General features: G+C 56.1%; 1 protein-coding gene across 2 annotated transcripts, besides 26 other annotated features; it reads left to right on the top strand.

The window, feature by feature from the left end:
• Window positions 94-173: an enhancer, noted in NCBI's record as "active region_16205". NCBI's record gives its function as "activates an Ori minimal core promoter by ATAC-STARR-seq in GM12878 lymphoblastoid cells {active_cell/tissue: GM12878}" and the evidence as "EXISTENCE:reporter gene assay evidence [ECO:0000049][PMID:35858748]".
• Window positions 434-483: an enhancer, noted in NCBI's record as "active region_16204". NCBI's record gives its function as "activates an Ori minimal core promoter by ATAC-STARR-seq in GM12878 lymphoblastoid cells {active_cell/tissue: GM12878}" and the evidence as "EXISTENCE:reporter gene assay evidence [ECO:0000049][PMID:35858748]".
• Window positions 1,364-1,643: an enhancer, noted in NCBI's record as "active region_16203". NCBI's record gives its function as "activates an Ori minimal core promoter by ATAC-STARR-seq in GM12878 lymphoblastoid cells {active_cell/tissue: GM12878}" and the evidence as "EXISTENCE:reporter gene assay evidence [ECO:0000049][PMID:35858748]".
• Window positions 6,085-6,622: an enhancer, noted in NCBI's record as "H3K27ac-H3K4me1 hESC enhancer chr2:96824357-96824894 (GRCh37/hg19 assembly coordinates)". NCBI's record gives its function as "activates a minimal SCP1, AML or CMV promoter by ChIP-STARR-seq in naive H9 embryonic stem cells {active_cell/tissue: H9 hESC(naive)}" and the evidence as "EXISTENCE:reporter gene assay evidence [ECO:0000049][PMID:30033119]".
• Window positions 6,631-6,770: an enhancer, noted in NCBI's record as "active region_16202". NCBI's record gives its function as "activates an Ori minimal core promoter by ATAC-STARR-seq in GM12878 lymphoblastoid cells {active_cell/tissue: GM12878}" and the evidence as "EXISTENCE:reporter gene assay evidence [ECO:0000049][PMID:35858748]".
• Window positions 6,931-7,340: an enhancer, noted in NCBI's record as "active region_16201". NCBI's record gives its function as "activates an Ori minimal core promoter by ATAC-STARR-seq in GM12878 lymphoblastoid cells {active_cell/tissue: GM12878}" and the evidence as "EXISTENCE:reporter gene assay evidence [ECO:0000049][PMID:35858748]".
• Window positions 6,931-7,701: a biological region, named in NCBI's record as "Sharpr-MPRA regulatory region 4518".
• Window positions 7,057-7,351: an enhancer, noted in NCBI's record as "tiled region #4518; K562 Activating DNase matched - State 5:Enh". NCBI's record gives its function as "activates a minimal TATA promoter and a strong SV40 promoter by Sharpr-MPRA in K562 cells {active_cell/tissue: K562}" and the evidence as "EXISTENCE:reporter gene assay evidence [ECO:0000049][PMID:27701403]".
• Window positions 7,163-7,701: an enhancer, noted in NCBI's record as "H3K27ac-H3K4me1 hESC enhancer chr2:96823279-96823817 (GRCh37/hg19 assembly coordinates)". NCBI's record gives its function as "activates a minimal SCP1, AML or CMV promoter by ChIP-STARR-seq in primed H9 embryonic stem cells {active_cell/tissue: H9 hESC(primed)}" and the evidence as "EXISTENCE:reporter gene assay evidence [ECO:0000049][PMID:30033119]".
• Window positions 7,881-7,970: an enhancer, noted in NCBI's record as "active region_16200". NCBI's record gives its function as "activates an Ori minimal core promoter by ATAC-STARR-seq in GM12878 lymphoblastoid cells {active_cell/tissue: GM12878}" and the evidence as "EXISTENCE:reporter gene assay evidence [ECO:0000049][PMID:35858748]".
• Window positions 10,968-11,037: an enhancer, noted in NCBI's record as "active region_16199". NCBI's record gives its function as "activates an Ori minimal core promoter by ATAC-STARR-seq in GM12878 lymphoblastoid cells {active_cell/tissue: GM12878}" and the evidence as "EXISTENCE:reporter gene assay evidence [ECO:0000049][PMID:35858748]".
• Window positions 11,925-12,518: an enhancer, noted in NCBI's record as "H3K27ac-H3K4me1 hESC enhancer chr2:96818462-96819055 (GRCh37/hg19 assembly coordinates)". NCBI's record gives its function as "activates a minimal SCP1, AML or CMV promoter by ChIP-STARR-seq in naive and primed H9 embryonic stem cells {active_cell/tissue: H9 hESC(naive and primed)}" and the evidence as "EXISTENCE:reporter gene assay evidence [ECO:0000049][PMID:30033119]".
• Window positions 16,142-16,221: an enhancer, noted in NCBI's record as "active region_16198". NCBI's record gives its function as "activates an Ori minimal core promoter by ATAC-STARR-seq in GM12878 lymphoblastoid cells {active_cell/tissue: GM12878}" and the evidence as "EXISTENCE:reporter gene assay evidence [ECO:0000049][PMID:35858748]".
• Window positions 16,312-16,401: an enhancer, noted in NCBI's record as "active region_16197". NCBI's record gives its function as "activates an Ori minimal core promoter by ATAC-STARR-seq in GM12878 lymphoblastoid cells {active_cell/tissue: GM12878}" and the evidence as "EXISTENCE:reporter gene assay evidence [ECO:0000049][PMID:35858748]".
• Window positions 16,432-16,631: an enhancer, noted in NCBI's record as "active region_16196". NCBI's record gives its function as "activates an Ori minimal core promoter by ATAC-STARR-seq in GM12878 lymphoblastoid cells {active_cell/tissue: GM12878}" and the evidence as "EXISTENCE:reporter gene assay evidence [ECO:0000049][PMID:35858748]".
• Window positions 16,790-17,679: an enhancer, noted in NCBI's record as "H3K4me1 hESC enhancer chr2:96813301-96814190 (GRCh37/hg19 assembly coordinates)". NCBI's record gives its function as "activates a minimal SCP1, AML or CMV promoter by ChIP-STARR-seq in naive H9 embryonic stem cells {active_cell/tissue: H9 hESC(naive)}" and the evidence as "EXISTENCE:reporter gene assay evidence [ECO:0000049][PMID:30033119]".
• Window positions 17,402-17,481: an enhancer, noted in NCBI's record as "active region_16195". NCBI's record gives its function as "activates an Ori minimal core promoter by ATAC-STARR-seq in GM12878 lymphoblastoid cells {active_cell/tissue: GM12878}" and the evidence as "EXISTENCE:reporter gene assay evidence [ECO:0000049][PMID:35858748]".
• Window positions 17,662-17,831: an enhancer, noted in NCBI's record as "active region_16194". NCBI's record gives its function as "activates an Ori minimal core promoter by ATAC-STARR-seq in GM12878 lymphoblastoid cells {active_cell/tissue: GM12878}" and the evidence as "EXISTENCE:reporter gene assay evidence [ECO:0000049][PMID:35858748]".
• Window positions 18,242-19,121: an enhancer, noted in NCBI's record as "active region_16193". NCBI's record gives its function as "activates an Ori minimal core promoter by ATAC-STARR-seq in GM12878 lymphoblastoid cells {active_cell/tissue: GM12878}" and the evidence as "EXISTENCE:reporter gene assay evidence [ECO:0000049][PMID:35858748]".
• Window positions 19,432-20,191: a silencer, noted in NCBI's record as "silent region_11755". NCBI's record gives its function as "represses an Ori minimal core promoter by ATAC-STARR-seq in GM12878 lymphoblastoid cells {active_cell/tissue: GM12878}" and the evidence as "EXISTENCE:reporter gene assay evidence [ECO:0000049][PMID:35858748]".
• Window positions 19,432-20,419: a biological region, named in NCBI's record as "H3K4me1 hESC enhancer GRCh37_chr2:96810561-96811062".
• DUSP2 (dual specificity phosphatase 2) lies at window positions 19,801-22,072 on the top strand. 2 transcript variants are annotated; one of them, NM_004418.4, is made up of 4 exons: window positions 19,801-20,274; window positions 20,359-20,480; window positions 20,868-21,087; window positions 21,204-22,072. In NM_004418.4, the coding sequence occupies exons 1-4, from the start codon at window positions 19,887-19,889 to the stop codon at window positions 21,416-21,418; spliced, it is 945 nt and encodes a 314-aa protein (NP_004409.1). In that variant the 5' UTR covers window positions 19,801-19,886; the 3' UTR covers window positions 21,419-22,072. The 2 variants fall into 2 exon arrangements, with proteins under 2 accessions (NP_004409.1, XP_016859035.1); XM_017003546.2 differs by having other exon boundaries at window positions 19,801-20,480.
• Window positions 19,918-20,419: an enhancer, noted in NCBI's record as "H3K4me1 hESC enhancer chr2:96810561-96811062 (GRCh37/hg19 assembly coordinates)". NCBI's record gives its function as "activates a minimal SCP1, AML or CMV promoter by ChIP-STARR-seq in primed H9 embryonic stem cells {active_cell/tissue: H9 hESC(primed)}" and the evidence as "EXISTENCE:reporter gene assay evidence [ECO:0000049][PMID:30033119]".
• Window positions 20,822-20,871: an enhancer, noted in NCBI's record as "active region_16192". NCBI's record gives its function as "activates an Ori minimal core promoter by ATAC-STARR-seq in GM12878 lymphoblastoid cells {active_cell/tissue: GM12878}" and the evidence as "EXISTENCE:reporter gene assay evidence [ECO:0000049][PMID:35858748]".
• Window positions 22,582-22,651: an enhancer, noted in NCBI's record as "active region_16191". NCBI's record gives its function as "activates an Ori minimal core promoter by ATAC-STARR-seq in GM12878 lymphoblastoid cells {active_cell/tissue: GM12878}" and the evidence as "EXISTENCE:reporter gene assay evidence [ECO:0000049][PMID:35858748]".
• Window positions 23,702-23,751: a silencer, noted in NCBI's record as "silent region_11754". NCBI's record gives its function as "represses an Ori minimal core promoter by ATAC-STARR-seq in GM12878 lymphoblastoid cells {active_cell/tissue: GM12878}" and the evidence as "EXISTENCE:reporter gene assay evidence [ECO:0000049][PMID:35858748]".
• Window positions 23,812-23,861: a silencer, noted in NCBI's record as "silent region_11753". NCBI's record gives its function as "represses an Ori minimal core promoter by ATAC-STARR-seq in GM12878 lymphoblastoid cells {active_cell/tissue: GM12878}" and the evidence as "EXISTENCE:reporter gene assay evidence [ECO:0000049][PMID:35858748]".

Genomic DNA, 25,442 nt, shown 5'->3' with positions numbered 1-25,442 from the left:
GTGGGGTGGCCACCACCATTTAATAGACTGGAAAATAGGATGGAAGTTGGGGGTGTGGTGGAACAGGGCCACAGGGAGTGGGTTTTCACCAGTCGAAAAGTGGGCAGAGCCCTTCGGATGCGGCCGACTGGCTGTCATGCAGCTGCGGTGCCTGGAGAACTCAAGATCTCCTCCATCGACATGGCAGAGGATGAGCAAGTGGGAAAATCGCACAGGGCTTTTTATTGCCTGAGTCTGGAGGTGGTGTTTCATTGGCTGGAGTAAGTCACATGGCTCTGCCAAGTGTGAGAGGTCTGTGTAGGGTAAGCCTCTGCGTCTGGTAGGGAGGAGGTTGGGACCAGCGACTACCAGTCATATTCACTGCAGGATGTGTGCTGCGGTCTCCGGTCTCCTGGGGGCAGGCCCGGCCTTACAGCCCATCCCTGGACCCACCTCGGGAGGGGAAAAACTGCAGGGCTCTGGGAGCGCCGCCACCAGGGAAGGGCTGCTGGGATCAGCCGGGAAGGAGGAAGGGAAGGGGGAGAGGGGCTTGGGTCCCTTGATGCTGCCTGAGGAGGGCTGGTGGACACTGCCTGGGGCTCCCTGCCAGGCCCTATTGGGCTAACAGTAGGCTTTTGTTTTCAGTAAGGGACCTCCCCTCCTGCCTTTCGTTCTGAGGGCATTGCAAAGGGCTCAGAGAGGGGCAGCTCCACATAGGAACTGTGATGGGTTATGAGCAACGCATTTCTGTCTTCTGCCATCTTTTCTGTGTGTTCCAAATTTCCTAGTGTTGGGGGATTTCTGGGATAATTAGGGAAAATAACAAATGTGTGATAGACTTGTGCAGGGTGGTGTGGTAGGTGAGGCTCCGGCCCAGAGTGAGGGCTCCTTCCCCTGACATGGGCATCTCCAGGGCCTCCCTGCCCATCCCATGGGCATCCTTATTCCTGGCTCACAGCAGTGGGGTCACCTCCCCAGGGTTCCCACTTAGTAGCTGAGGAAAGTGGGGCTCAGCTGGCTTGCGGGCCCTGCCTGAGGCCACATGGTGTGCCTCCGGATGCTGGGCTGGCCGTCTCACTCCTTCCCCTCTGCCTTAGTGCTGGCCTAGGCTGAGGCTGCCCGGGAGACCACATTAGACACATTTGAAACCGTCTGTCTCTTCAGGAGAGCAGACTCAGATGTAAATTCCTTCAGCCCCCAAGGAGCTAAAAATAAGAGGCCTGTGCCCCTACAGCAACCCAGGAAAGGCCACGTGAAAACCCAGCAGCTGGGGGCGGAGGCTGGGGGCGCGGGGCCCAGCAGTGTTGGAGGGGTGGAAACAGGATGTGAGCAGAGAGGGGGCTGTGAGAAGCAAGGTGACACCCAGCAGAGGCGGCCACCTGGTACAGCATGTTCTGAGCCACGGAAAAAGACCCTGGGCTGCGTGGGAGCCCTTACATCCTGCTTGGAGACAGGCCTCCCCCATTTGGCCTGGCTGTTGGCCAGGGCAGAATCTGACCCCTGCACTGGGATGGTGGGCAAGAGAAGGACAGGATGTTGCCTTTCAGAGAGATGGGGATCAAACCTTAATAAGGGCTCCCGGCTCCCCCAGGGAGGCCTGGTACCTACCCAAGGCCACCAATGGAGAAACAGGGTAAATAGCTCACCAGCTGTCCATCAGCCAACACTGCAGGCCAGGCCTGAGCCAGGTGTGGGGAAAGCGAACCCGCCAAGGCCCACTCGCTGGCTTCAGGGAGGCACCAGTATTGGGTGGGTGCCTTGATGAGGCCTGTGAAGGCCAGAGGCGAGCCCAAGCTCTGGGAGGCTCTGGGAGAAGCCCTTGATTCAGCCTGGGGATCTGGGAAGCCTTCCTGGAGGAAGCGAAACCTGAGGGGTCTCAAGGATGGGCAGGGGAGGGGTGGGTGAAGCCATTCCGGGCAGGTCGGCCAGCACAGGGCGCAGAGGAAACCCCCGGCCTGAGTGGTGTGGTCAATGTCACCGGGGCCTTTGTGCCCACCTAGCCTGAGCCTGCCCCCCTTGGCCTGCTCAGGGCTTTTCCTGAGATCCCTCCTCTCTGAGGTCTGCAGCCTCCCCTCTGGCCCATCATTCTCTTTCCTTGTCAGGTCCATGGCTCCCCCACACCTTCAGCCAGCCTCGGGGTCCTCCTTCACAGTCCAGACCACAGTCAAGTCTCACTTAGTGGAAGGCTTGTCCCCCCACTTCCCCAGCAGCCCCAACTGAGGGGTGCCACGAGGCTCACTGAGTCACCATCCCCTTCTGGTGGTTCAACGCTTTTTCCTTGATTTGTAACCAGACTTTTTGTCCTAGAGCTTTTCATACACATTTATGTTCATGTAGAATGTAGGCCGGGTGCGGTGGCTCACGCCTGTAATCCCAGCACTTTGGGAGGTCGAGACAGATTGCTTGAGCCCACGAGACCAGCCTGGGCAACACGGTGAAACTCCATCTCTACCAAAAATACAAAAAATTAGCCGGGTGTGGTGATGTGCGCCTGTGGTCCCAGTTACCCAGGAGGTTGAGGTGGGAGGATGGCTTGTGTCCGGGAGGTTGAGGCTGCAGTGAGCTGTGATCGCACCACTGCCCTCTAGCCTGGGTGACAGAGCTGTCTAAAAAAGAAAAAAAAAAAAAAACTGAAACAAAACAAACCAAAAAACAAACAAGAATGTACAGCTTTCTCTTTTTTGTTTTTATTGAAATGGGATCATACTATACGAACTTATTTTGCAACTCACTTGTCTTCACTGTATCTTGAAGCTTGTTCTAGATCAGTGTGTGTAGATTTACCTCATTATTTGTTTTTACAGATACTTGATAGAAGTGTAAAAACTTTGTATTCCATTTTTCCTCCCAATACAGACAATGCTGCCTTGGAAATCTTTGGACAAGTTTCTTCACCCAGAAGAGAGGTTGCAGGGTTGAAGAGCATGTGCTTTAAACATTTGGATAGGTTCTGTCAAATTGCTTTCTTTAAACACACGTTATCAACCAACTTACACTCCCACCAAAAGAGCACAAGTTCACTCATTCACCACCCTTCCCAGTATTTGAATGTTTGCCAACCTGATGGGTGGATCATCGCGCTGCCTTGTTTCAGTGGGTAGAGCATGGCTTTTGTGGATTACTGGAGATTTGCATTTCTTGGTCTGTGAATTCTGTGTTGTTATTCTTTGCCCCTTTCCTGTTGTGTTGTTTGACTTTTTCTTATTTGTTTTTGGAGGCCTCACATCTTTACTCACTTTCTTCACACTCTCTGTCCTCTTTTCCTGTTGGGCTTTTCTCCATAACCACCATCTGACGTACGATGTGTTTATTTCTTTATTGCTTGTCCTCCCCACCCCATTACAATGTAAGAACCAAGAGGGCAGAGATTTTGTCATTTGTCCATGTGAAGGTTTCCAGTACCTGAGACAATGCCTGGTGCCTAATAGGCACCCTCCAATTAACTGCTGGATGAATGAATGAATGAATAATATTTTATCTGTCACTTGCTTTCAAATATTTTCTTTCTTTCTTTTTTTTTTTTTGAGATGGAGTTTTGCTTTTGTTGCCCAGGCTGGAGTGCAGTGGCACAATCTCGGCTCACTGCAACCTCTGCCACCTGGGTTCAAGCAATTCTCCTGCCTCAGCCTCCCGAGTAGCTGGGATTACAGGCACGTGCAACCACATCTGGCTAATTTTTGTATTTTTTAAGAAGAGACGAGGTTTCGCCATGTTGGTCAGGCTGGTCTTGAACTCCTGACCTCAGGTGATCCGCCTGTCTTGGCCTCCCAAAGTGCTGGGATTAGAGGCATGAGCCACCGCGCCCAGCCTGTTTCTAAGTATTTTCTCCATGTTTGTCACTCACCCTTTACTTTTGTTTGTGGTGAGTTTGAGCATACAGAAACTTTTAAAAAATTTTAAGTTTATTTTGTTTTTTTTCTCTCCAACTTTTATTTTAGGTTCAGAGGGTATGTGTGCAAGCTTGTGACATGGGTAAATTGCACGTTATGGGGGTTTGGTGTACAGATTTTTTCGTCACCCCAGTAATAAGGATAGTACTAGACAGGTAGTTTTTCGACCCTCACCCTCCTCGTCCACCTCAAGTAGGCTCCATGTGTGCTCAACGTTTAGCTCCCACTTATAAGTGAGAACTTGCGGTATTTGGTTATCTATTCCTGCATTAATTTGCTTAGGATGATGGCCTCCACCTCCATCCGTGTTGCTGCAAAGGACTTGATCTCCTTTTTTATGGCTGTGTAATCTTCCATGGTATATATGCACCACATTTTCTTTATCCAGTCCACCGTTGATGGGCATTTAGGTTTATTCCTCCTCCTTGCTGTTGTGCATAGTGCTGTAATGAGCATTCACGTGCATGTGTCTTTGTGGTAGAATGATTTATGTTCCTTTGGGTACATACTCAGTAATGAATTGCTGGGTCAAATGATAGTTCTGCTTTAAGTTCTTGGAGAAATCTCCAAACTGCTTTCTACAGTGGCTGAACTAATTTACATTCCCACTGGCAGCATGGAAGTGTTCTCTTTTCTCTACAACCTCTCCAGCATCTGTTATTTTTTGACTTTTTAATAGTAGCCATTCTGACTGGTGTGAATTGTTATCTCATTGTGGTTTCGATTTGCCTTTCTCTAATAATTAGTGATACTGACCATTTTATTCATATGCTTGTTGGCCATATGTATGTCTTCTTTTGAGAAGTGTCTGTTCATGGCCTTTGCCCATTTTTATTATTTTTATTTTTTATTTTTTTGAGAGAGAGTCTTGCTCTGTCACCCAGGCTAGAGTGCAGTGGCGAGGTCTCGGCTCACTGCAACCTCTGCCTTCTGGGTTGAAGTGATTCTCCTGCCTCAGCCTCCCAAGTAGCTAGCTGGGGCTACAGGCGCGAGCCACCACAGCTGGCTAATTTTTGTATTTTTAGTAGAGACAGGGTTTCACATATTGGCCAGGCTGGTCTCTTGAACTCCTGACCTCAAGTGGTCTGCCTGCTTTGGCCTCCAAAAGTGCTGGATTACAGGCATGAGCCATTGTACCCAGCCCTTTGTCCATTTTTTAAATGGGGTTGTTTTTTGCTTGTTAATTTAAGTTCCTTATAGATTCTGGATATTAGAACTTTGTTGGATGCATTGTTTGCAAATATTTTCTCTTGTTCTGTAGGTTGCCTGTTTACTCTGTTGATGGTTTCTTTTGCTGTGTAGAAGCTGTTTAGTTTAATTAGGTCCCATTTGTTAATTTTTGGTTTTGTTCCAATTGCTTTTGGAGTCTCTGCCAGGGCTTGTGTCCAGAATGGTATTTCCTAGGTTTTCTTCTAGGGTTTTTATAGTTTTTATATGCTGGGAGTTCTGGGGAGGAGAGCCTGCATACCAGCCTGAGCTCCTAGTCCCCACTTAACCCTGGGCCACTGTCCTGTCAGCCAAATCGAACTGCTACCGACATACCTGGGTGCCACTGAAAGGTTTCCAGCAGAGCAATTTAGAAACTTAGAAAGTTCATTCTGGATGCTACAGGAGGAGGGGCGAGGCTGGAACCAGGATAGAGGTGGGGTCTCTCAACTCCCTCCAGCCAAAGACCACGAGGAACACAGCTGTAGTTGAACAAATCGGGCATATTTGCAGCGAGGGCAAACACACAGTACCAGGAACCGTGGGCGTCTGGGCAGGATGTGTGAGAAAGCACCTGTGCCACAGGCTGGGCTGTCCTGTGTCCTTGATGTGTTGTGGAGAATTGGACTCCACCTCTTGATAGAAGAGCGTCAAAATGTTGTAGTCATTTTTGCACTGTACCACAAGGCCATTCTTCTTTTTTGGGCTGGGAGAACAAGGAGAGGGAAGATGTTGTCAGAGTCTGGGACAGCGAGGGCTGTGAAGAGGGGCCGAGCTATGGGAACGGGAGTCCCAGAGGGACCCAGCCCGGCCCACACCTTGGTGTCAGGGCAGAGGAGGAGCAGGGATAGAAGTCCTCGAGACTCTTTCCCCACTTCGCCTCCTGGTGCCTTCTGGCTGAGTAGTCAGGAAGCAGAGAGTGAGAGATCCCACCTGACTGTCCGTGCATGGCAGCCTGTGGGCCCAGAGCAGGGAGGAGAACGGGTCTGGGAAGGGGAAGGGGACAGAGAGTAACCAGCAAAGCCACTGCATTCCCAGAGCCCAGAGCGGTGCCTGGCGCATAAGAGCTGCTCCACAAATATGTGTTGAATGGCTGAGTCTCACGGAGGTCTTAGTTCTGGGCAGCGCCCCTCTAATGTGTGTGATCCTCCTGGGGAAATTCCAGGGTGGAGGAGGAGAAGTTTATTGAAGGGGCAAGAAGGGGCTGGGGCCAAAAACAGTCAGCAACACCCTCTCGTGACCCAGCTCCTGGCTCTCTCGCGACTCTTCTTGCCGCTGATGTGACTGGGCTGTCCCAGTGCAGACTCTCTGGACCTCACTGGCCAGGGTCTGAGGGCCTCCTGCCAAGCTAGGACAAGAAGGGGCTGTGCAGGCGGCCAGGCCCCCTGGGTCCACCTTGGACTCCTGGATCCCCCGTGCCCTGAGCCTCTCAGCAAGCCTTGCCCGAGCCCGTGCTGGGCAGCAGGTCCCGAGGCGGCCCTCTCGGGAGCAGACGGCTGCAGTGCACCAGCATGGATTTCTTCTGTCCCAGCACCTGCTGCATGGAGCCTACAGAAGGGGCTGCCGATCAGGGAAAGGAGGAAGGTTCTCTTAGCATAAGCAGCCCGGAGATGCACGAGGAAGGGGCCCAGCTAGGTGGGGCAGGGGGGCACTGTCTGTGACGCTCCCCCTGAATTGACAACCATGGGGCCTCTGCTCTCCCTGACTGCCCTCTCTTGCCCCACAGGATCCAAAGTTGAGGAGTCAAGGGCCAGGAGGCTGAGAGGTGCCAGAGCAGGAGGGTCCTGGGGAAGGCTTTGTCCTCGGCTGTGAGAGAAGCTTACACATGGGCAGAGGGGCCAGGAAGAGCCCTATGCCTGGAGAGAGGCTGGGGGACAGAAGAAAAGCTTCTTCTGGGGTCTCCCTATAGGTGGGGGCTGCCCCCTGTGCTGGGAGGCCAGCCCACTTGCCTGCCCTCATGAGTCTGTTGTTCCTTCATTATTTTAATTATTTACGTATGGCAGGCCGTTCACAGCTTCCAAAACACCTTCCCGGATGGTGGCTCATTCAGTTCCGACAACAGCAGGGTGAGGTGGTGCTGCTGGGGCCCCTTTCCCAGTGAAGCGGCAGGGGCAGGGTGACATGATTCAGCACTGCCGCCGCCCACACAGAGGGGCCACCCCTCCTTGCACGCCATGAGGGGAAGGCACCCCGTGTGCGCCCTACTGCTGGCGTGTGAGCAGTTTCTATTTCCCTTGGCGGACTGGGACTATGGGGCCTTCTCCCCGCTGGGGCCTGTCACTGTCCCAGCCCTGGACCCAGCAGGGAACTTCCTCCACCCTCTATAGGGTGGGGTGTGGGGAGAGCCCCGCTTAGCCTCAGCTCAGGGCTTCTGGGCTGCCGGACACTGCCTGGCCCTGTGGTCCCCAACCCATGTGGCCACCTGCTCACCCATTTTCGACTCCATGCCAGGGCCAAGATGCTTGTAAGCCCCTTGTCCTTCCTCTGCTACTGACCTGTCCCCAGGCCCCAAGGGCTCCTTGGGGAGGTAGGAGATGGCTGAGGATAAGCCCAGTGGTTTTCTGTAACCTGTTCCTTCTGCCCTGTGGGAACCATGGCTGTGCACTGGTCCTGTCCACAGCCCTACTTGCCCAGTGTGGCTCTGGCAGGGGCCACCCCTGTGTTCAGGCATGGGGGCCTCCTGGGGGGACGGTGGCTGACCTGGGGGCAGGCAGGTTCTGCTGAGGGTGGGGGAAGGCAGCATGGCTCTGGGCAGCCTGTACAGGACATGTCTTCTGCCCCTCCAGCCTCTTGCTTAGGATTCACCAAGCATGACTCACTTTCCCTCTCTGAGCCTCAGTTTCCATATCTGTAAAGAAGGGCTGATGAGAATCCCTGGGGTGAGGACAGAGGGAGACATCCAAGAGGGTGGAGCCTGCTTGGAAGCAGCTGCATGACAGCAGCTCCCATGGGACAGCAAGTCCCTGAGGGCTTCACAGAGCTGCAGGGCACCCAAGAGGGAGCCACCACGCTCCGCCAGGGTGACGGGGAAGCTTCCTGGAGGAGGCAGCATTGGTGCTGGCCCCAGGGAGGCGGGCATGAGGGCATTCTGAGTCCACAAGAAGGGCATTGCAGACAGAGTGGCTGCTGTGAGCAAGGTGGTTTGGGGGCCATGGGCACAGGGTGGTGGGAAGAACTAAGCTGGGCTTTGCTGAAGAACATGAATCAAATAAGGGGAAGAAAGATGGGGCCTTGACTCCCTGCTGAAGGGTGTGGATGCATCCCAGAGGCAACTATAGGGAGCTGGGACTCAGATTTCCCTCGGGGAAGAAGACTTGGGCTGTGATGGGAGGGGGTGGGCAGACGGGGCCGGGAGAGGCAGAGGCAGGTGCCCAGGACCTGGGGGTGGCTGTTATCATAGTCTGGTTAGGAGACAACAGGGCCTGGCTGATTCTGAAACCAACTGGTTGGTTTGGGAAACCTCTGCTGTAACCTCACATTAGCCCCCAAACCAGTTTGTCACACTGCTTGGAGTCACCCCAACATGGGCCCTGGTGTGGGCACATGACATGCCGGGTCTCTGATCCTTTTGTGGCATGGAGTTAACCACCTCTCTGCTTTTCTGGTTTAAAAAACAGTGCTTGTTTGTTTTTCTCATATTTTATGTCATCATTCCAAACAAATTTTGGAGAATAAGTAAAAGGTAAAAGTGTGTTTGAAGTGGGCTCATCTCTCAGCCAAGGTGGAGGGGGTTCCCCAGCCCCTGGAAGATGGTGAACCCATCTGGGGTTCTAACCCACAACTAATCTGTAGCCCATCTAATTTGTAGCCACATGTGAGGTCCCATGCCCCGGGTCCTGGGCACACACGCATTTCTGTTCTGTTTCCACTGGGTGGGGGTGGGGGACTGCTGGGCTCCAACCAAGGTCAGATGGTGCCAGGGGCATGGGTGGCAGTGCGGCCATGGGCATGTCAGGCCTCCTCTTCCTTGGAGGACCTTACCACCATCGGAGAGGCAGGACTAATGCACAGAGCCCAGGGGCCTTAACGAGGAAAGGATGGGCGGGAGTCCCAGTTCTGCCTTGACATTGGGGAAAAAATTCCTCATCCGCCAAATGGGAATAGCAAGTAATTCCTGTCCCGCAAAGTGATGTGAAACTGATGAGAAGTGTGATTTTTTTTTTTTTTTTGAGATGGAGTCTCGCTCTGTTGCCCAGGCTGGAGTGCAGTGGTGTGATCTCAGCTTGCTGCAAGCTCCGCCTCCTGGGTTCAAGTAATTCTCCTGCTTCAGCCTCCCTGGTAGCTGGGACTACAGGCGCCCGCCAACACACCTGGCTAATTTCTTTTTGTATTTTTAGTAGAGACGGGGTTTCATTGTGTTAGCCAGGATGGTCTTGATCTCCTAATCTTGTGATCCGCCCGCTTCAGCCTCCCAAAGCGCTGGGATTACAGACATTAGCCACCGCACCTGGCTGAGAAGTATGATTTAATGTAGCTAGCTCACGGTAGATTCACAGTAATTGGAAGTTATTGGAAAACATTGCCAAATAGTTCTTATTTTTAGCCAGAATGAGACAACATCCAGGTGCCTGGTGCTGCTGGAATAGAGGCGAGGAAACCCTCTGGGTCTCCAGCCCAGGCAGTTGCAGCCAGGCCCCCGGCTACTCTGGCCTCCAGGATCTGGGGAGCATGGAGCAGCTTCTGGGAGCTCACTGACTGGGGCCATTAGCAACTGGACATTCTGGGCTGGGGTCTGAGGCTGAGCAGAGGGGCCTGGTGGGTGGAGAAGGGTGGAGGGAGGTGAAATTCTGGTGCACGCAGAAGCCAACAATCCTATTGTGCCTGGTGAGCAACCTGTGTTGAGGTGGTGTGCCCGTTCCCCTGCCTTAAGGAGGGGCTTCAGTCCCCAGAGGGAGAAGACTTCGGCTCTGGGCGCCTTCCCTGGGGGGCATGGGACACTCCCCTGCATTGTGACCTTGGGCCTTTATCCTCTGGGTTTCTCTGGTCCAGCAGGCCTGGCCAGGGCAAGGCTGGGCACGTGCAGGCCAGTCTGCAGACCTAGTGCTCAGGAGCGGTCACGGAGCACCTCCTCTGGCCTCCAGGAGTGCATCACAGGCTGAAGAGGCAGCCGTGCTTGAGCCCAGAATGGAGGAGAAGTCGGGAGGGCTGGGCTGGGACACAGAAGGATCCACAGAAGAGGCGGCTCCAGCAATCCAGGGGCAGAGAACAGCAAGAGCGGAGGTGTGGAAGTTGGGGTTGCAGGGTGAATGGGGGTCGTTGGCGAGTCCTCTAAGCCAGGCCCTTGAGTGAGGATTGGCTGTCACCACTGTGGTCTCTGAGCAGGGAGAGGCAGGCTCTATACTGGTTCATCTTGGGCCAGGCACTGGCATCAGGGGCCTCAGTCCTTTAAGTCCATACGAGGGGCAGGAGTCCTGGGAGAGGCTTGCCAGGGCATCCCCTGAGCCTGGACAGCATGGGCCAGGACCAGCGTCCCTGCCTCAGCCACTGCTCAGCTCCCCTCCCTTGGCCTCCTCTGGCTGAGGGGGATATTTACTGAGGGTAGGGGGGTGGCCTGAAGATGGGGAGCAGTGAGGGGTTGGGGAGGAGGAGAGAGATGGGTGAGGAGGAGGAGAACAAAGAGACAGTGGGTACGTAGAGGAAAAGGAGAGAGAAGGGAGGAAGGCAGGTGGCCCCCCAGCTGCAGGCCTTCCCTGCTGGCACACAGGGCGCCTCCCTGGGCACCACCCTCCTGCCCTTCTCCGGGGTCCTCCCACGGGGTCTGGGTAAGGGCAGCACACCCTCCGGGCCATCCTGTGTCCCTCGTGCCTCTCCCTTGCCCTCAGCACCCAGGCCAGCAGAAAGGAGCCTCCTGGCTTGGGGGTTCTGGCTTAGTGACTGCTGTCATTGGGGCTGCTCCCGGGGGCCCTCACTCGGCCCTGCTCCTGGGTGATCTTGCAGCCACAGCTCCCAGCCCTGTGCTGGCAAAGCACTGGGTGTGCCTGACCCCTGCAGGCTCTAGGAAGCTGGACCTAGGTCGCTACTGCCTTTGCCAGGCCCAGCCTGAGATGCCCTTGGTGGCCACTGGGAGCCACTCCTCCAGGGTCTTACCTCTCTCAGACTAAACCTGAGTCCTGCCCCTGCCCCTGGGGAAACAGAGGCAGGCACTTCCTGCCCAGGCCCTGCTCTGGGTGAGTTGAGCTGGGGATAGGGCCACACACCTCTCTGGGCAGCAGCTACACCCCTGAAGGAATCAGGGGACATTGGTGGTGACCTCTTCTGGGTTGCAACACTCAAATGAGAGATTCATTCATAGTCACAAATGTGTGGTGTGTGTGTTCTGGGGTATGTGTGTTGTGTGTGTGTGTGTGGCAGGTGTGTGGTCATCCTGTGTTTGTGTGTGAGGAGAGGGCTGAGGCCAGGGCCCCAGAAATGGCCCTGCTTGACCGCCCCCGCCGTCCAGGAACCTGCTTCCTTCTGGGTGGTGCTGGCTAAGTAGGGAAGGGGCCACTCACCTGTGCTGTCTGAGAAATGGACTCGGGGCTTGTATCAGGCAGGGCTGTGTCCACGTGAAATGTGGGCAGGGCACTGGTGGGTGGTGGTGGGTCTCAGGGCTGGTGGTCAGGAGTACAGGTTCATGGGCTGCGGAGGGGCAGCTGGGGCATGTGAGCCGGGGTGGGCCCCTCCCCCATGGATCTGGGGGCTGGCTCCTGGGGCCGCTGGGACCATGGCAGGACTAATCACGGAGGGCTCTGAGGGCTGTCCTGGGACTAGGGAGGCCACATCACTGTGGTGTGTCTGGGTGTCCATGGGTAATGGAGAGGATGCTTAGGCTTGGCCGTGCAGCACTGTGTGCAGGAGGACAGGTGTGTGAGTGTGGCTATGTAAGTGCAGGGTGTGTGTGTATGAGTCTGTGTGCACATAACACATGTATGCGTGTGTGTGCACACCTGACCCTCTCTGGGTGTCTGGGTGGCTCCATGAGCAGTGATGGCCTCAGCTTTTCCAGGCGCAGTCATTCTTGAGGAAGCATCATCGGATTTGGGCCCTGATCCTCCCTGATCAGTCTCTTCCTGTCTGGCGTCACCCCGGCCATCTGTGCTCTAAACCTGAGCCTCAGCTCCCCATGCCCCTCACCCGCCCCCACCTCCTGCAGCTCCCCAGCTCTCTCTGGCTGTGGTGGGGGCAACCTCTCTTCTCTGGCCTTCACCCTATGCTGAATACATGTCCCTCTTCCAGATTATAAAACTGGGCAGCAGCTGGCCTCTCTCAGCTGCTCCCAGGCCCCGTCTCAGGGAGGAGGAGCCCTGGCAGGGCCTGGGGTGACAGGGGAGAGGAGGGAACCTCCTCCTTCCTCAGGAACCTGTTTGCCCTCTGCTCAGCCCAGACCTGGGAGCCACCCCCGCCCCTCTCTTTCTCATTGTCCACCCCATCCCATCTGCCCACGATTCCTGACAGCCCTGCCCCTGCTGATCCTGGAGCCTCCTTCATTTGCATTGCCACCCAGGGGTCAAGTCAGCCCCCTGTCCCCTGAATCACTGCATCAGCTCCTGACCTCTCCCCATGACCACTCCTGCCCCCACAGTCCACTCTCCACTCACAGGTTCCCTCCCTAGCCCACCCCCAGTCAGGACCTTCCAACGGTTCCCATTGTCCTTTTAATGAAATCAGACCCTGACCAGGGCCCTGGGCTCAACCAGAGCTCCTGCTGCAAGGCCTTTGTCCCTGCCGTTCTGCCTCCCGCTGCTCTTCCCTGCCCCAGCCCTGGCAGGCTCCTTGTCATCCCTGGAGTTGCAGCGGAAGGCCATCTCCTCCCAGAATCCTCCCTGGTGCCCTCTCCCCTGCTCCATCTCATGCCCCTCTGCGGCATCATTCATAACATCGCCCAGTGTCTGCCGTGGTCTCATTCATTTGCTTACTCCATCCTTCTGTGGCCTTGCATTGGAAGGCCAGCCCCAAAGGGCAGGAATCTTGTCTGTCTTGTTCACGGCTGCATCCCTAGCACCATGAAAGCAGCCTGGCACTCAGTAACACTTGGTGAGTGAATGAGTGCTGGGACCCGCAGGAAGCCTGAAGCTCGCAGTGTGCCCAGAGCCACAGAGATGTGTGTGGTAGAGCTTGCCCTTGAACCTAGGACATTCAGTGGGTCGTCACAGTGGATTTTTTTTTCTTTCTTTCTTTTTTTTTTTTTTGAGACAGAGTCTCACTCTGTTGCCCAGGCTGGAGTGCAGTAGTGCAATCTCAGCTCACTGCAACTTCTGCTTCCCAGGCTCAAGTGATTCTTATGCTTCGGCCTCTTGAGTAGCTGAGACTACAGGCACGTGCCACCCCTTCAGCCTAATTTTTGTATTTTTAGTAGAGACAAGATTTCACCATATAGGCCAGGCAGGTCTGGAACTCCTGGCCTCAAGTGATCTGCCCTTTGGCCTCTCAAAGTGCTAGGATTATAGGCATGAGCCGCCATGCCCGGCCTCATGGTGGGCTCTTTTACTGACATGCCTGGGTTGTCTGCTCTTGGGAACCATCTGCTGCTCTGGGCACCTGAGGATATCTCTTTTTCCCTGGAGCTTGAGGAATGGTGGGGGATGAAGGCCTAGCCTGACAGTGACTTCCATCCCACATTGTGGATTTCAGCTTCCTGTGTCAGCTTCCTGTCGAGGGCTACCTGGGGGCACAGGGGCAAGTCCTCATGCCTGCAGAGATGCATCAAGCCCCACTCAGGGCTGGGCACTGTGCTTCCCGCTGGACTCAGAGGGGCAGTGCCCTGGGCACTGTGCATCCTCAAGGGGTTTTCAGCAGAGCTGGGGAGGTGGCACTAATGCCCTGAAGGTCCTCCAAGACGGCAGCCGAGAGAAAGAAGGGCTGTGGGCAAGGGTGGGAGGCCGATGGGAAGGGCCTGGAGGATGGGGACCTGGATTCTGGAGACAGTCAGGAGGGGACACAAAATTGTGTATTTAAGCCGTGGCTCTGAGAGCTCGGGCAAACTCCTCAGCCTTTCTAGCCGTGGCTCCCCCATTTGTATTTGGAGTGCCAATCGGTCCCACTTTTGGGACTCTTCGAGGTTTAAATGAGATAAGTTCTGTTAAGCTCTTGGGACAAGTCAGGGCACATGGCAAGCACACAATCGGTGTCAGTTGTTGTGGTTGTCCCATGAAGCAAGAGACCCAGGCAGGAGGGTGTGTGCTGGGGACGCCACACAGGCGGACCCATGTGGACCCTGGCCAGGGGCAGGGCAGACTAGTGGTTAAGCCCAGGTTCCAATCCCAGTTCTTCATTTGCATATGGACTGTGTGGCCTTGGTTCTGCCCCCTAACACCTTTGGGCCTCGGTTTCCCTATCTGCAGAGCAGGGTAATGAGGCAGCTCTCCAGGGTGTGAGGCCAGATGCAGTGATGCTCCCAAGGCACTGAACACAGTGCTAGTGATTGCTCTTTTTTAATGAGGGACGAGACCAAGATCACACTATAGGGAAGCAGCCCAGTTGTGTCTGACCAAGGCAAGGTGGCTTCACAGCCCCCACAGCTAACTGATGCCCAGAGCTTCCCCGGCTGCTGCTGCTGCTGTGCTGGTATTGCTGGTTTTGGGGGGTGGCAGAGAGCATGGCCTGGTCTTCGATGGTAGTTAAGGTGTCAGCAGTGCTGGTGAGGTGGGAAGGAGGTCCCTTTGTCACCCCCCCCCCAACAGTGCACCCAGCTCTGGTCACAGGGGAGCCCCAGGAGGCCTCTTGTCACTCGCCCTGTGCCCGCAGTGTGGTCATATTTTTGAGACTCCTTCATTTCTTGCCCAACTCTTACCACCGGCCACAGCTATTCCTTAGCAACCTCCTCTTCCCTCCTTAGATACCTGGGCCTAAGCCACAGTGCCTCTGGCTAGCAGGGTGGGAATTGGTTTCACTACTGGGACCCCCATCGGTTGGGGGCCACAGGTGTGCCAGGGGTGGGTGCCCAGGGAAAAGCTCAGAGAGGAGGTCCCTTCCACCCCCAGGCCCAGGCCCAGGCCCAGGCCCATCTGGGAACACAGACAAACACAGTTGCTTTGGTGGATAGGCCCACAGGCAAGTGGGGCCTTGGCAATGAGCTCTCCCAGAGTCCCTTCCTCAGGCTGTGGCCTCCTCTCTTTATGGGAAACCATGGCAGAAGGGGGAACCAGATTCCATAGCACCGTACCTCCCAAAGCTGGAAGGGGCCATAGGATCCTTTCCTGGACAACACAGCCTAATTCTGGCATCTCCTGCCTGCACTGCACGTTTTTCTTTTTCTCTTTTTTGAGACGGAGTTTTGCTCTGTTGCCCAGGCTGGAGTGCAGTGGCGTGATCTCGGCTCACCACAATCTCCACCTCCCGGGTTCAAGTGATTCTCCTGCCTCAGCGTCCTGAGTAGCTGGGATTATGGGCACCTGCCACCACGCCTGACTAATTTTTTGTATTTTTAGTAGAGACGGGGTTTCATCATGTTGGCCAGGCTGGTCTTGAACTCCTGACCTCAGGTGATCCACCCGCCTTGGCCTCCCAAAGTGCAGGGATTTCAGGCGTGAGCCACCGCGCCCGGCCATGCACCTCACTTTTTAAGATGTTTGGGTACCATCTGTTCCCAACAGTTTTCCTTAAGTCAACTCAGTTTTTACAAACCTAAAATTTACTTTAAAAGGAAAAGATATGATTACTCTAGGTGGATAATTAGTATCATTTACCATGAACACAACATAATCACAAAAATATATATTGTTGAAGCAATGAGGTCAGCGCCTTGAGGGCAGTGGTTTGGGATTTACTGCTATATCCCCAGCACGTAGAATAGTACTTGGTACATAATAGGTTCTTGAAATGTATTTCTGAATGCAGGGTTGAGTAAGTGATAAATGCAGAAAGGGGCGCAAAGCCTCTTGGTTAAAATGAGGAAAGGCAGGTATTAGAAGTTACAGCCACGCCAGCCCCACGTGGAGACTTTCTTCTTGATGTACTCAGAAGGACTGATTGACTTGAAAAAGGCAGAACGTCCTCCGCGCATGGCTGGGGACTCCTCAGTGCTGGTCTGGATGCAGCCTCAAGGTGTCTGAGCATCCGAATGTCCTGCTTGGGGGTGCACGCCAGGGGACCTGAAGCTCAGGGTGGCACCCGGGTGAGAGGCAGGGCCAGGGTTGGGGCGTATCGCGGGCCCCTATGCATTTAGTCTGAGCGACGGGTCCCCTGAGGAGGCCTCAGAGTGTCTTCCCCAGCAGCCCTGCTCCTGGGTGGTCCTGGTCCTGCTCACACACACACACACACACACACGTGACAAGACGCATGACAGAGTGTGGGAACAGACACCAGCCCTTTCGGCTGCAGGCTTCCCGCTTCACCTTGGCCAGGAGGAGGCCTTGCTAAGGGCTGGGTGCCCCAGGTGAACCCCCGCCCCCACCCTGCTCTGTGCCAGACACGCCTTCCTCACAGAGGGGCTGTCCCTGGAGCCTGGCGCCTGGCAGGAGCCTGTGGGGGTGGCCGCCGCATCGGTGTGTTCGTCAGAGGCCTGGCACAGGAAACCCGACGTCATCCCTGACTCACCACTCAGGCGGAGCTTGGGGTGGCCCGTCACTCTCACCTCCATCCCTATTCTGGCGCAAGCACTGTAGCCAAGCCACTCACCTCCCGCCCCCTGTGAGGCATCTGCTTGGAGGTGGGGGCTGGAAGGAGGAAGGAAGGCTCTGCAGCAGCAGCGAGGCAGCTGTGGGAGGGAGACCTGCTGTGCAGGGGGCTGATGGATGTGCTGCCAGGGCCAGGAAAGACCTGGAATCCCAAAGGCAGGAGCCAGTGACGCTTAAACAGCCGTCAAAATAGATGGTTATAAAAAGAATAACATGCAGAATCATCATTTGTTCCCGGTGAGTCTCACAGGTTTTCAATTTTAAAAACAGTGCTGAGCCCAAACTTACTTGATATTGTCTGCTCTGTAAGAGCCAGGCCAAGAAAAACAAACAAAAACAGAGAGAGCTCTGAGCAGGGACCCCCAACCTGGGTCAGCCCCTTCCCAGCCAGTGGCGAGGACTGGGTCCTGCTTCCAGAGCCTTCAGGCTGTGGGGCATCCAGTCTAGCAGAGACCCCTCCTCATTGTGTCCTCACCCCTACACCCAATGCCCTGCCTCCTCTCTGCTGTGGCTCCCAAGGCTGGGCTCTGGCGAACGGTGGTTGGGGAGACTCTGAGTGGGTGGCGGAGAGGAGCAGGCGTCCTGCACCATTATCACCACAGGCAGCATCCAAGGCTTGGGGGGCTTTTGTCAGAGCAAAAGCAGGAGAGGGACATGGGCTGGTAAGTCTCTCCCCCTCTTCTTACCCCAGCCCTGGGCTTTCACCCAGTAATCGGGGGTGGGGCTTTCCCCAGTTTGGGAGTAGGGAAAGAAGGCAAAGGGAAGGCCCTCCTTCATGGCTAAGCTGGGCCTCCGTAAGTCCACGTTCCAGAGCTGAAAAGGGGACAGCCCCAAGACAAATGGCCTCAAGGGGGTGACATATGTGCAGCCACTTTAGGCAGTCATCACCAGTCCTGAGCTGGGTGGTGGCACGTGCCTATAGTCCCAGCTACTCTGTTGGCTGAGGCAGGAGGATCACTTGAGCTCAGGAGTTTGAGGCCAGTGTGGGCAACATAACAAGATCCTGTCACTTAAAAAGAAAAAGAAAAAGAGACCACTGGTCATGGCCAAGAGTGCCAGGCCCCAGGGACTGTGCTATGAGAGCAAACCTTCAGCAATGCTCTCCCCACATGCAGAACTCCCCGGCAAGGTATACCAGATTCTCCAGAAGGAGGGGAAGAGGCCCAGCCCAGCATGGGAGTTGGGTCTGGAGCCCCTTACACGGCTGAGCTGAATTCACTCCTGAATCAGGGATCCCACCTGGCTGGGGTCCTCCCACAGAGCTGGAAGGCTTTGGCTCCTGGCCCAGCAGCAAGACTGGACCTGATTGTCCTTCTGCACGCTCTGTAATTTGCCCCTGGAATAAGCATTAAGTCATTTGGAGGCCGATGCCAAAGATAAGGGCTCATATCAGCCTTTGGGATCTGTGGCCCAGACTCCCTGGCTCTGTTGTGGGCTTTGCTGCCTCAGCCTCCAGACTGGCCTGCCAGGGACAGCGGGGCCTCAGCCAAGTTGCCCAGACAGTGGAGTAGCCTTAGAGCGTTGGAGCCAGTGTGGAAGAGCCGCTGCACCATGATGTGCTCCCCTTACAGATGGAGACACTGAGAGGGTGACGTGGCCCCAGGGACCTTTGGAGTCCTTGGGGCTTTTCTCCTCTGCATCGGCTCTGACCCCAGCACACACAAGCTCCAGCTCCTTCTCACACATAGTGGAACTGCACAGGTACGATGCTGCCCTGCACACAACCAGGCATACAGCACACTGCTGTGAGGAACTCAGGGCAGACAAGTCCAGAAGGGCTGCGGGCTCTCCACAGGTCCCAGCTGTCACTCTTCAAGACGGTCTGGACACAGGGGTCTGTGGGGGAGCCGGAAGGGTCTTTCAGAGGGCACGGAGGAGGGCCTCAGGAGACTGGGGGCTTGGAGGGTGGGTTCTGAAATCCCACGCAGCTGGGGGCAGGGCGAGGGCAGCTCCAGCGCAGTGACGCTGTCTCCACCCACCTCAACTTCTCTGCTTGAGTTTGGGAGTTCACTGCCAACAATTCTTGTGGCTCAGACACCCCACGCACACCTGGGCCTCACCACATCCGGCAGCAGGGCTGGGGGAGGGCGGAATGGAGGGGATACCCAGGCCCCCAGTCCTCCGGGTGCAGTGCTAGCCCTGGACTTTGCTGCCCGGCGGGGCTGGACAGGGAGGCCTAGGATGGGGGAGGCCAGTTCTGTTCTGCTTCTCCCTCTTCCCCTTGCCAAGGTCTTGAAATCCCCGCAGGCCTGGGGAGGGCCGGGAGCGTCAGCGGACTTCCCTCCAGGGCGGGCTTGTGGCAGGGGGAAGTACTTCTCTCTGGGGCCTGGGGGCTTTCCCTGCACCCAGGAGGAAGAAGCTTTGCCCTACACATAACTGGAAACCAGTCACAGACCCCTGCTTTCCCCATGAAAGGCCCTGGGACCCCCCCTCATTTCCCTTCGGCCCAAGCCCAGGGGCCTGGGCCCCGGGGACTGTGTTCTGGCCTAGCTTGGCCACCAACCTACTGCAAGACCCTGAGTACTGGTCTTATCCAGGCAATGGGGGGTGGGGAGGGGGAGGAGAGAGAAAGTCCCTCTGGCTCAAGGTCTCCAAATAGATGAGAAATAGGACATCTCAGCAGGGACCCCCCCCATCATCCAGTGTAGAAATCACCCGTGGCAGCAGGCATTTGTCAATGTTTGTGGTGACAAATTTCTAAGAGGAAAATTCTGGGAGGGAAAGGGAAAAGGCAGAGGAAGCGTGGGGTTAGGGGGTGGGGTACTCCAAGGGTCATCGTTGGCCCTAAAGGGGGACCTGCATCTGAGAAGCTGGGTTCCCCAGGACTGAGTGGCTTGGGACAGGTCAAAGGGTGGGCGCAAAAACGGAGGGGTGCTAGTCCCTCCGACTCCGGGTAACACCTTCCCTTCCCTTAGTCGCTGGTCCCCGCCTCCTCCCGGTGTGTTGGTCCCCGCGCCCTGCCTTCCCCCTCAACCTCCCCCCCGCCCCGAAGTCTCCAGGTCAGCCCAGACTGCGCCCCACGTGAGGGGCGGGGGCGGGCGCGGGCGCCAGCGCCTTCCTGCTCTGCCCTTGTATGGTGCCCCGGAGGCCGGCCCACGGGTACTTAACCCGGGCCGCCGCGGAGGGCGCCCGGAGTCGACCGCTCGGGCAGCGCCACCGCCACGAGAGCCCGGGACGCGGGAAAGACCGAAAGGAAGAGGAAGAGGCACCGGTGGCCATGGGGCTGGAGGCGGCGCGCGAGCTGGAGTGCGCGGCGCTGGGCACGCTGCTGCGGGATCCGCGGGAGGCGGAACGCACGCTGCTGCTGGACTGCCGCCCCTTCCTGGCCTTCTGCCGGCGCCACGTGCGCGCCGCGCGGCCAGTGCCTTGGAACGCGCTGCTGCGGCGCCGCGCGCGCGGCCCTCCTGCCGCCGTTCTCGCCTGCCTGCTGCCCGACCGCGCGCTGCGGACGCGCCTGGTCCGCGGGGAGCTGGCGCGGGCCGTGGTGCTGGACGAGGGCAGTGCCTCGGTGGCGGAGCTCCGGCCCGACAGCCCGGCTCATGTGCTGCTGGCCGCGCTGCTGCACGAGACCCGCGCGGGGCCCACTGCCGTGTACTTCCTGCGAGGTGAGCAAGCCGGCCGCCCTTGGCCCGCCCCACCCGACTCCAGCCCGGCTTTCCCTGCTGATCGTGCTCTTCCCCTCCTTGCAGGAGGCTTCGACGGCTTCCAGGGCTGCTGTCCCGATCTGTGCTCTGAGGCCCCCGCCCCTGCGCTGCCGCCAACAGGGGACAAAACCAGCCGCTCCGACTCCAGGGCTCCTGTCTACGACCAGGTGAGTATTGACCCCCCTCCCCCGAACCTCCCTCTCTCCCCGCCGCGGACTGGGCGCCTCTAGGGAAAGAGCCTGCCATTTGGGGATGCGAGCAGTTTGCCCATATACACACACTTTTATACGTGTGTGTGTTGGGGGAGGGGGTGGGGCATGGCTGCTCGCGCGTGCCTGTATGGGTCTGTGTATGTTTGCATGTGTATGTTGGGAGCATGAAGGGAAATGTATGTCCCGGTGTGTCCTCCGCACATTCCTGAGACCTGTCTCAGGTCAGGAGGACTGGCTGAGGAGTCCTCTTGTCTCGGCCAGCCCATGGGGTCTCCACCCGCTGCTGCTCCAGCTCTCCGGGGCTGGGCTGGAAAGGCCTCACCGCCCCTCTGTTCCCTCCAGGGTGGCCCTGTGGAGATCTTGCCCTACCTGTTCCTGGGCAGCTGCAGTCACTCGTCAGACCTGCAGGGGCTGCAGGCCTGTGGCATCACAGCCGTCCTCAACGTGTCCGCCAGCTGCCCCAACCACTTTGAGGGCCTTTTCCGCTACAAGAGTATCCCTGTGGAGGACAACCAGATGGTGGAGATCAGTGCCTGGTTCCAGGAGGCCATAGGCTTCATTGGTAAGGGGGCACCTCTGCCCAGAAATCCCGAGGGGCTCCAGAGGAGAGGACTGGGGGCACCTGTCTCCTGGGCTGTGCACATTCCGTCTGACACCACTCCCCCATCTCCCTTGCAGACTGGGTGAAGAACAGCGGAGGCCGGGTGCTGGTGCACTGCCAGGCGGGTATCTCGCGCTCTGCCACCATCTGTCTGGCATACCTCATGCAGAGTCGCCGTGTGCGGCTGGACGAGGCCTTTGACTTCGTTAAGCAGCGCCGGGGGGTCATCTCCCCCAACTTCAGTTTCATGGGGCAGCTGCTGCAGTTTGAGACCCAGGTGCTGTGTCACTGAGGTGGTGCCCCTCTGCCTGCCTGCCCCACTGTGCTGGCAGGAGCTGACTGTGGACTGGTGGGCTCCCCTCTGGGCCAGCACAGTCCCCTCACCTCTGGCAGGGCTGCTACCTCCTCAGAGTTTCAGAAGCCCCCACATGGGGGCTCTAGGAATGCCGGCATGCTGGTCTTTCCGACCTGGTGCTCTTCTGCTGGGGGACTGAGGCTGGCCCTCATTCGGGGTCGGGAACCAAGGGTGTGTCTGCTCTTTCCCTCCCCATCCTCTGGCAGAAATCAGCTAGACGCTATACCGTGGACTCTCCCTGGTCCACCACCATGTTGAAGCCCTTGGCAGCCTGAGAGCTCCAAGGAACAAGCTGTGACAACCAGGAGCCCTGTCTGTGGGTTCGTCTGCCCAGGGCCTGGAGCCCAAGCCCTGTGTTCCTGGGGAAGCTGGGGACTTGGGAAGTGATGGGTGTGTCATGTTGCGTGTGTCTGTCTGTGAGCCTTTCACACCTGTGCTGGCGCTGGAAAATTATTTGTGCTCAGCTGACATTTAACACTCCCTCCCCCGCTTCCTCCTAGCCCTGTGGGCAGGGGTTGGAAACTTAGCACTTTATATTTATACAGAACATTCAGGATATGTCAATAAAATATTGTTATATTTAAAAAACAACAACCCAGCATCTGGTCTCATCTGATACCCGGGAGCCTGCTTGGACCTCACGTTTCCTTGTGCCCTTGGGGTTTGGGAAGTGAATGGGCAGAGGGGCCAGCGGCCGGAAGGGGCAGGTCTGACCCTCCCCACAAAGGCTGCTCTCTTGGCCCCAGTTCTCCCTGGGCTGGCGTCTTTTCCCAGACAGGGACCTCGCTCCAGAGCTGAACAGGGTTGTTTCTGGGAGGCTGGGTCCCGTCCGTGACTCAGAGCCAGGCCCAGTGCTGCCCCGATCAGACCCCGCTTCCTTTTCGGAATGTGGAAGGATGCGAGTGTGTGCCTGAGGGTGTGGTCCTGTGGGGGTGGGTGGTCTTGGCCCATGCACACCTGCATGTTGCGCATGGTGTTCCTGTGGGAGCGTGTGTGCACGCCCACACAAGAGGCACTTCCCAGGCCGTGTGGGTCTCTACTTCCTCACAGCAGGCCTGCATGGCCTCCCTACTCTTCTCCCACATCCCAGGGCTGGGGCTCACAGCGTCCCCTGTTCCAGAGCTCCTTCATGTCCCCCAAAGGCATGTGGCCCTGTGTCTGGTGCAGAGGACCTGTCACCAGGGATGGGATTCATTGCTCTGCACACCCACCCAACTAGCACATCTTGGCCGAGCTTCAATTACGGGCCCAGCATAGGACTAAGGTTCAGTGGAGACCTGAGACCAGGGCCCCGCCCACGCCAGAAGCCAAGGGGTACCTGCCGACGCTGCCGGGAGGGGGTGCTGTGATCTGCCTGTGAGCAGGGGTGCTGAGGCCTTTGGAAATGGTTGTGCGGGAGCCAGTCCTGCTTCAGGCTCACTGGGACACTCGGCCATTTGGAGTGTCATCCAGCCAAGGGTTGTCTCTGCACAGTGCTACCTCTAAGGATCTGTCCGTGGTCTGTTAGGAACTGGGCTGCACAGCCGGAGGTGAGCAGCTTCATCAGTATTACAGCCGCACCCCATTGCTAGCATTACTGCCTGAGCTCCGCCTCCTATCAGATCAGCGGTGGCATTAGATTCTCATAGGAGCTTGAACCCTGTTGTGAACTGCATTGGAGGGATATAGGATGTATGCTCCTTATGAAACTCTAACTAATGCCTGATGATCTGTCACTGTCTCCCATCACTCCCAGATGGGACCGTCTAGTCTCAGGAAAACAAGCTCTGGGCTCCCACTGATTCTACATTATGGTGAGTTGTATAAAATTATTTCATTGTAGATTACAATGTAATGATAGAAATAAAGTGCACAATAAATGTAATGCACTTGAATCACCTAGAAACCATCCCCCTCACCATCCTGGGCCAGGCATGGTGGCTTATGCCTCTAATCCTAGCACTTTGGGAGGCCGAGATGGGTGGATCAACTGAGGTCAGGAGTTCGGGACCAGCCTGGCCAACATGGTGAAACCCCGCCTCTACTAAAAATACAAAAATTAGCCAGGCATGGTGGCGGGCGCCTGTTATCCCAGCTACTTGGGAGTCTGAGGCAGGAGAATTGCTTGAACCTGGGAGGTGGAGGTTGCAGTGAGCCAAGATTGCGCCATTGCACTCCAGCCTGAGCATCAAGAGTGAAACTCCATCTCAAACAGAGGAACAAACAAAAACCGGTCCCTGGTGCCACAAAGGTTGGGAACTGCTGTCTTACGGCATTCTGAATGCCTGGGAGGGTGTGCTTGTGGGGCAGGGCAGTGTAGTTTGACAGTCCGGGGGCTGGTTTTGCTTCACCTTGCTGTATACAGTTTTCTTGTCTGTAAAATGGAGTTTCATTGTTAGCCCCCACCTCTGAGGATGTAGACTTACACAAGTCAATCCATGTAGTGCCTGCTCATAGTAGGCGCTCCGAAAATGTTAGCTAACTACGGCCCTAGGAGTGAGGTTGATCTGATGTGCCGGTGTGCACATGCGAGGTGTGCATCTGGACCAGGATGGACACTCATAACGGCTGGGCCTGGGGTCCACTCAGCCTTGTGCCTGGAGCCTGGCACAGGTGGGCGCTCACTCTGTGAGGCCGAATGAAGGGTGATTCTTGTTCCCACTGCTGTCTGAGGGGTGGGGTGAGCCACTCCAGTGTGAACTGGGCAGAGCCGGGGTTGCTATTCTGCCTTCCTTAGGAGCTGAGTAGGCATCTGTTGGGACCCACTTGTACCCCCATGCCCAGCTTGGGTGGGTGGGGGACATCTGGGGCTCTAAGTCATAGGGGACTTCACACCACACAGCCTCATCTCACACACAGCTGCACTGGTGGCTGAGGCCTCTGCCCACCCCCCACCCTTGGCCCTACCCCATCCCACCCTACCCAGCCCCAATCCCCTCTCCTTCCTTCCCCGTGCTTTTTATAGCTTGTCATCTAGCAAACTGCCCTTCTCTTTCTCTCTCTTTTCCTCCTTTCCTTCTTTCCTATTTATTAAATTTTTAAACTTTTAATTGTGGTAAAAAATGCAACATAAAATTGGTCATCTTTACCATTATCAAGTGTTTAGTAAAGTGTATTCACATCGTTGTGCACAGATATCCAGAGCTTTTTCATCTTGCGAACCTGAAATCCTATACCTATTAAATGATAACTCCCCTCCCCAGTCCCCAGCCCCTTGTGAGCTCCGTTCCACTTTCCGTCCCTGTGCACTGGGCTACTCTAGACACCTCTTGGAGGTAGAAGCATGCAGGATTTGTCTTTTTGTGACTGGCTTGTTTCGCTCAGCAAAATATCCTCAGACCAACTGCATGTCCTAATAAAGACTCTGTTTCTCTCCCCAAGCAGGGTGATTATTTCTTATCATTATTTTAATTCTTTTGTTTTTTGAGACAGAGTCTCACTCTGTTGCCCAGGCTGGAGTGCAGTGGCACAATCTTGGCTCACTGCAACCTCTGCCTCCTGAGTTCAAGGGATTTCTGGCTAATTTTTGTATTTTTAGTAGAGATGGGGTTTCACCGTGTTGGCTAGGCTGGTCTCGAACTCCTGACCTCAAGTAATCTGCCTGCCTTGGCCTCCCAAAATGCTGGGATTACAGGCATGAGCCACTGCGCCCGGTCTACTTTATTTTTTTTTACTGAACATTCATCTTTTTTTTTGAGATGGAGTCTCACTCTGTCCCCCGGGCTAGAGTGCAGTGGCGCGATTTTGGCTCATTGCAAACTCCACCTCTGGGTTCAAGTGATTCACCTGCCTCAGCCTCCCGAGTAGGTGGGATTACAGGTGCCCGCCACCGTGCCCAGCTAATTTTTGTATTCTTTTAGTAGAGATGGGGTTTCACCATGGTGGCCAGTCTGGTCTTGAATTCCTGACCTCGTGATCCACCTGCCTTGGCCTCCCAAAGTGCTGGGATTATAGGCGTGAGCCACCGCGCCCTCCTGAACAC

Source organism: Homo sapiens, chromosome 2 (assembly GCF_000001405.40).
Source record: "Homo sapiens chromosome 2, GRCh38.p14 Primary Assembly".
NCBI classification, from domain to species: domain Eukaryota; kingdom Metazoa; phylum Chordata; class Mammalia; order Primates; family Hominidae; genus Homo; species Homo sapiens.
Note: the sequence above shows the minus strand (reverse complement) of the source record. Positions and strands in the feature narration are given on the sequence as shown.

Coding starts and splice junctions, on each gene's coding strand:
- DUSP2 (XM_017003546.2), top strand. CDS start 19,887: ATGGGGCTGGAGGCGGCGCGCGAGCTGGAGTGCGCGGCGCTGGGCACG. Junction 20,481..20,867: donor GGGCTCCTGTCTACGACCAG/GTGAGTATTGAC, acceptor TGTTCCCTCCAG/GGTGGCCCTGTGGAGATCTT. Junction 21,088..21,203: donor GGAGGCCATAGGCTTCATTG/GTAAGGGGGCAC, acceptor TCTCCCTTGCAG/ACTGGGTGAAGAACAGCGGA.